The 6,710-nt window shown below is 33.4% G+C and overlaps 1 annotated feature.

Annotated features, from left to right (window-relative positions):
* Positions 290–791: an enhancer, noted in NCBI's record as "NANOG hESC enhancer chr14:41974655-41975156 (GRCh37/hg19 assembly coordinates)". NCBI's record gives its function as "activates a minimal SCP1, AML or CMV promoter by ChIP-STARR-seq in naive H9 embryonic stem cells {active_cell/tissue: H9 hESC(naive)}" and the evidence as "EXISTENCE:reporter gene assay evidence [ECO:0000049][PMID:30033119]".

The following is a 6,710-nucleotide window of genomic DNA, read 5'->3' as shown; positions in this document are numbered from 1 at the left end:
TAGAAAACCTACTACTTAAACATTACCTATACCATGTTCTATCTTAATATAATATTTGGTATGTAGTAAATATAGTCCATATTAACTGTTATTATTAATTTAAATATTATTAACATTATCATTATTTTCAGGCAAATAGCCAACATAAAGTAGTTTAATTAAAATAAAATTAATAAATTTAAAATTATTATAATTTTTTCTTTTTATTAAGAGATAATTATAGACTCATAAGAAGTTTCAAAAGAATGTACAGGGAAGTCCCCACGTATACTTCACTCAATTTCCAAACAGTACAACTTTAGCATTAGGATGTTGACGTTGGTACAATCCACAGATTTTACTCAGATTTCCTGAGTTATGGATGTAATGTAGTCCAAAATTAGACTGGATATCAGTTACATCTGTGTATCTTCCTACATTCAGTTGTTGAAAAATAAAACAAAAAGTAGCAGAAAAATCCCAAATATGACGTTTATTACTCACAGAAGTGAGGTTGGGAAATGCAACTCAGTGTGAGAGCCTAATGGCTTACTGATGAAACCCAAGAACTAGGTAGACTTAATCTCCCTGATCATAACAGCAGGCTTCGCCTCCTGGAGGGTTACATCCAGTCCCTGAGGGCAGAGGAGAATGCTTGCCTCCAGAGTCAGCTGCATACTATGTGGTGCCTGACACAAAGTGAAAATGTGGGGCCACTTCTTTAGTAAGTTGGAAAAATGTATTAAAACATTAAAAGTTTCTTTTCTTTGTTTCACCGTCTCTCTCTCTCTTTCCCAATTAGGACATTTTTATTTGCTACTTAGTGTCATTCTAACTAAATGAAAATTGAAAATTTAAATTATTAGCATGAATTTTACCGTTCAATGTTATATTGTGCAATGGCAGTTTTAAATGAAACTATAAGAGAATTTAACTCATTAGCAAATTATCACAATTAATCTGTATTTTGTAGCTTATATATAACCTATGTATTTCGCTTTTAACATAACTGTGTAAATGATGCACAAAACTAACTCAACTGTTTTTATTTCACTTCTTGATATATACCCATTCCACCAACACTTTGCCTTTGGCCTACTGATGAGTAAGGAATGGTTGAAATGAAAAGAAACCAAGGGTGTCTCTATTTCTCTCTCTTCCTTCTACGCCCTTATTTCAATGTAGTGGCTGGCTAACACAGAGAAGTAACATGAGTAATAAAGTATATGAAAGGCTCTCTTGGTTGTCCATGCTTCTTAGAACACCATTGTCTTACTTCTGCATTCAAAGCAAGTTCTGGTTTGAATGGAAAACTTGGACTCTCTAGGTTGTCAGCACTCCCACTTTTTCAGTCTGAGATGTAGCAGGCTTACCTTGAACTCTTTTTAAATCTCTTTAAACTCTCATGGAAGGTGGGTCCACAGAAATTCTGTGTTCATGGGGCATTATGAATATCCTATGCTAACGGAGCAGCAACAATGGTAGATGTATATATTGCATTTATCTACTCTACTCCTAAGTGTGCTTCATTTTCCTGCTGGACTTCATTTCCATAATACAGTTTAAAGATAAAATTATTAAGAATTTCAAGATGGCAACGGTAGAACGTTAAACCAAGGAGGGCTCGTCTCAGTGGTAAGTTCTATGTGGCCACACAGGTGATACATTTGTGAAGCCAATTCTGCTTGCTCCCTTGAGGTAGCTCACTTTCAAGACAAAGTTTACTCCGTGGGAAGAACTACTGTTAGCATGTCTAATTCATTTGTCCCAAATTTATCAATTGATTACTCATTCTCCTGGGGAAAAAAGTGTAAAAGATGGAGAGGCCACAATTTACACTAACTGAGTTCTCTCCAGGTAGAAAAAAATAATTATAAGAATAGACAAGAAGTATTTTTTCTCATTTCTCTCCTGACTTGAGAACCATCAGGGAGTAGACACTGGAGTCTGAATTTGTGAAGATCCTATGTGGTAAACTTGTTTGACTAGCTTTAATTCAACATCTCCAAATCATTATTATCACAAAAGCTTTTGAACAATAACACAAATATGCTTGGAAAGTCTTCTGTGAACCCATTTTTTGGAAATGGCATATTATATAGTCAGCACGTGCATATACACGGAAAAGGGATTACCTTTCTCACCTTTATTTTAATTAACATACCTATTTTTCATTTCTAAAAATGTTCTGTTTCAACATGTTTCTTTTCTGGATATTGGAATATTCTATGTTTTATCCAGATGCTGATTACAAGGATGTGTTCAGTTTGTGAAAACTAGCTGAACAGTTTACTCATAAGTTATGCTTAGACATTTGTTTTCTATATTAGTTTATATTTCAATAAAAAAGGTTCAAAAATGAAGAAAGAATAGAGAAAACATTTTTTTGTGTTCATACGTGTGTGGAGAAAACTTTAGGAAATGAGGATAGAGCTTGAGGAGATTAGGGAGGAGTTTGCAATCCATAAGCTGACCTTCACAGCCTCATGTCCTACTAATTGTGAGTGCTCACTAACACCAAGGTAGAAAGCATCATGTGCTGTGGGATGATTTTGTGTTTTCCTGTTAGTCATGAGTGACTCTTGCAGAATTGATAGCTAACTTCTGTTCAGAGGTTTTAAGTAATAAGAATGTTTCCACCGAAAATAGTACAAACACAAAATGTTTGACCCATTTTCTCCCCTTTCCTTTAGCTGTATTTTTAAAGATGTTTGATCCATTTGAGAGAGTATAATATAGGCTTCAGGCTTTGAGTTATAAGTTAGGAATCTCTGCAGCATTTCAGCCTACTAACCTCAAGCATAAAAAGTCAGAGAAGTAATCTAAAGAGTTATGAAACTGAAAAATGAGCAAAAAAAATATTTGGGGCAAAAATAAAATTACTACCATTATCACATACTGTATTCAATTGAGATAGTTTATAATTTTCAGCACATTCTACAAAGATTTTTTGACTATTGTCGAAAAAAAAGCCTTGCTAAAAAGTCAGGATATGGAGAATAATTACAAAAGGAAGGAGTTTGACATTCTACATAAATGTATTACAGGAAAGATGGCAATTTGAGGCTATTTTAAAACTGTTTAAAAAGTCAGTAGTATCATCAACTTTGATACTTCTAGTGCTTATTATACGTTACCCTGTATACTTGCAGCTCACCACTAGACTTCATGAGCCTTGAGAAAGTAAAATCACTTTTTACTTTTTAGACTCCTACTGGGCTTGCACATTCTGTATTTTTAAAAATTAAATTATTGCAATTATTTTGTCACATGAGTGACAAAGTGTTGAGAAAATGGAATATAAGTAATAATTTAGGAAGAAAATAAAAGAAAATTACAAAGAAGATTGATAAAAGAAGATGAAATAACTGCATGGATTCCCATGACTGAGGGCCAGGGCGTAGACCTAAATAATCACTGAGTAATTGTTAATGCTCAGGTTACGAATTTAGTGTTTAGTACGAGGTCACTAAAAGATGAACATAGAGCTGAAAATCTAACTGAATTAATTACTCAAAATAACTCACTCTACTTAGGCTATTTTGTCTAGGGTTAGACCTGATAGATGAGAACAGACCTGTGGTAATATTATCAAAGTTGAAAATTATTTGATAAGTAGTTGAAACTTATTTGTGTTTTGGAGAATTGAATTTGGATCCCTAAATAATTCAAGTAGGACAGAGCACGGCAGTAATGCAAAAATCAGATTACACTATATTTTGCATTAGTATTTTTATTGCTACAAAACACAATCAGCTCTGTGGTTCTATTACATGAACTCATTATGGCTAAGCTGCCGTATTAAAGCATATATAGTTGTAAATAAGCAATTTAAAATGTAATATACAGAAACTAAAGTGCTTTAATAGAATGACCTGTAAATCTACCCGCACTTAGGTGAAATACATTCGTTTTACAACATAACAAAAAAAAAGTGAATTAAATGTTTGAGGATACTTATTATGGCCTTTAAAAAAATAAGTTAAAATTTAACCTGATTATTATTTTTAATATTTATTTATATTAAGTACACACGAATTAACAAAAGCCTACAAAATCTTGTCTATAAATATAAACTGTATAGCAACTTTAGAGGATTAATACTTTGAAAATATCTGAATCTCAGTATTTATGTTACAAGTTAGTTCTATTTCATTAGAAATTATTTTGTAAAAGTAGGGCTCTTGCGTCTAGTTATAGTCATTTTCACATAATTCCTTTTTAATGCTCTCTATTTGAAAATGTACCAGAATTTTTAATTCAAATCACATATCTAATTAACACCTGTTTATAAGTGCAGCCAAAATAGAAACTAACCTTCATTCTTATATATACAAGGAGCCTGGCTCCTATTATACCTAAGTTTTGTTTTGGCATTATATAATCTAGTCAACATTTCAAAGGTTATTAGCGTACCTGATGCCAAAAGGTCATACATATTAGCAGTAATTGGCTTTTATAAATATTGCTCATTATGCAAATGCATTATTTACAAGCACCATTAGGCCAAAGTGGTTGTAAAAACTTGAGTATTAGGTTTTCTGCATTCATTATGAGGCAAAATATTTGGCACTAGATAAATTAGAAGTTCATCTTAGATATTAGAATGTAATTTAGAATATGAAAAACTTCAGATGTTTGCTGGCTTAGAAGCCTTAAAATGAGACTGGTTAGGAGACAGAAATGACAATCAGTTGGTTGTGAATATCTGTTCAGGATACTCATTCTTAATGATCTATCATCAGCATATTGGTTACAAACTTTAGGAACTGATGAGAACATCTGAGAAGATACTATAAAGAGGCTGGAGAAGGGCTTCAGGATCAACTGCATATCTCATAACATTTTTTACCTGCATATTTTTGAAAATATATTGTAGCAACTCTGGATTTTTTCCTGAGATTTTTCATTCTTATTTAGTTGTTGTTGTTGATTGATTTGTTTTAATAACTTGCTTGGGCTAAATTTGCGGGATCTGCCTCTCTCCATGGTGTGCAGCAACTAATGCATCTGCTTAATATTTTTGAATACTTTTAATCTCTTTTGGTTGGCTTCCTAAGAGGTTGTGGCAGTTTTTGCATAGCTTAGCAGTCATACAGTAAATGATTATATGTTGTCTTCAAACACCTCAAACAGGAAGGCTTCTACCCCTTACGAATGGAGCTTAGTGTGGGTTGGGAGCACATTTCAAAGCTCAGTCATTTTCCAATCTATCCTGGCTTTATTTTCTGCTAGGCCTTCTTGTGTTTCTTCTGCACACATATGTAGACTCCTGGTTAGCCAGGGATATTATGGAGATATTAGCAATGCTTTCTGTCAGAGAGTGATCTTGGTGAGAAGCACATGGAGAAAGTCAGAAAACTAAGAGGAAAATCCTTTATATGAGACAGCCATTTGCTTCTCACTAAGATCACTCTCTTACAGAAAACACTGCTAGATTTTTCTTCTTCTCCGTCAGTTTATGTGCTCCTTCTCCATCAGCAAAGCTGCTGGCTTTCATGGCCAGTGCTACCCCTGGAGAACCACTTCTGTTTGTCATTTAATAAAAAAACCAAGGCAGAATATTGTGTTTAATGTGTTCCCAATTTTGCATTTTATAGATGTCCAAGATGTGTACCAAGACCATTATGACATTGAGGTAGATGTGAAAAAGAATTCCTGACGAAATATAATTTTATGGAAAATCTAGAAACAAACAGAAAACTCATTATGCTAAGGCAATATACATGTACAAGGTAACAAGGTTTTGAATTATGGTGGTAGCAATGGGAATGAAAAGTGTCTATGTAATATAATTTAAGAATATTAAAAATAAGTGGTAAAGATAATTTTGGCATTTTTAGCATGGAAGAAGGGTGGAACTATAAATCAAAAGCGAATCCAATGAAAACTTTGTTTCCGAGAAAGACAATAAGTTGCCTTTTAGACACATTAAAGTGGCAAGATTAAGGACATTCAAATGGTCAAGTCTAATAGGCAATTGAAAAATGAGGGTACTCAGTTAAAAGTAACAACTGGAGATAAGATGTGGAAATCATTCTCATAGGCATAATAATTTAATTTATGAGAGGGAATGAGTTTTCTAAGATTATATAATTTTATCTTTAATATATATGTGTGTATATATATAATTGAGTTTTTAAATATATATTCTCTCTCCCCTTCCCCATATAAACAGATTATATCCTCTCTCTCCCTTCTGCCATATAAACAGATACATCTAAAACTTTATAATACTTGAAATACAATTTGGAGATTATTATAAACAGATATATCTGTTTGTGTGGGGGAGGGGAGGAGGGAAGAGAGAGCATATAGCATATAGCAATATCTATGTCTATCTGTCTGTCTATCTATCTATCTATCTATCTATCTATCTATCTATCTAATCTATCTATTTATGGAGAGAGAAAGAGATAGATGGTAAGGGCAATTATCTTATAATTACCTTACAAAAAAAATGTTAGAAAAATCTGAAGGAATTTCTCCCTGAAGGCAGGAGAGGAGGAAGAGGACTCATCAAGGAGGGCAGAGAAAGAGTAGTCAAGAAAGTAGAAAATGAATTGAAATGAAGTTCCCTAAGAATTAAACATAAATGGGGATTCCAAACAGAAAGCCTGATGGTGTCAAATGCTGCCGAGTTCCAGCAAGTGGGATGACTGAGAACGGCGATTTAGTCATTAGGTTGTCCTTGGAGATTTTGCCCACATAACTCCCAGGCAACCTAAATT

This window comes from Homo sapiens, chromosome 14, assembly GCF_000001405.40.
Source record: "Homo sapiens chromosome 14, GRCh38.p14 Primary Assembly".
NCBI lineage: Eukaryota > Metazoa > Chordata > Mammalia > Primates > Hominidae > Homo > Homo sapiens.
This window is presented reverse-complemented; position numbering and strand designations above follow the sequence as displayed.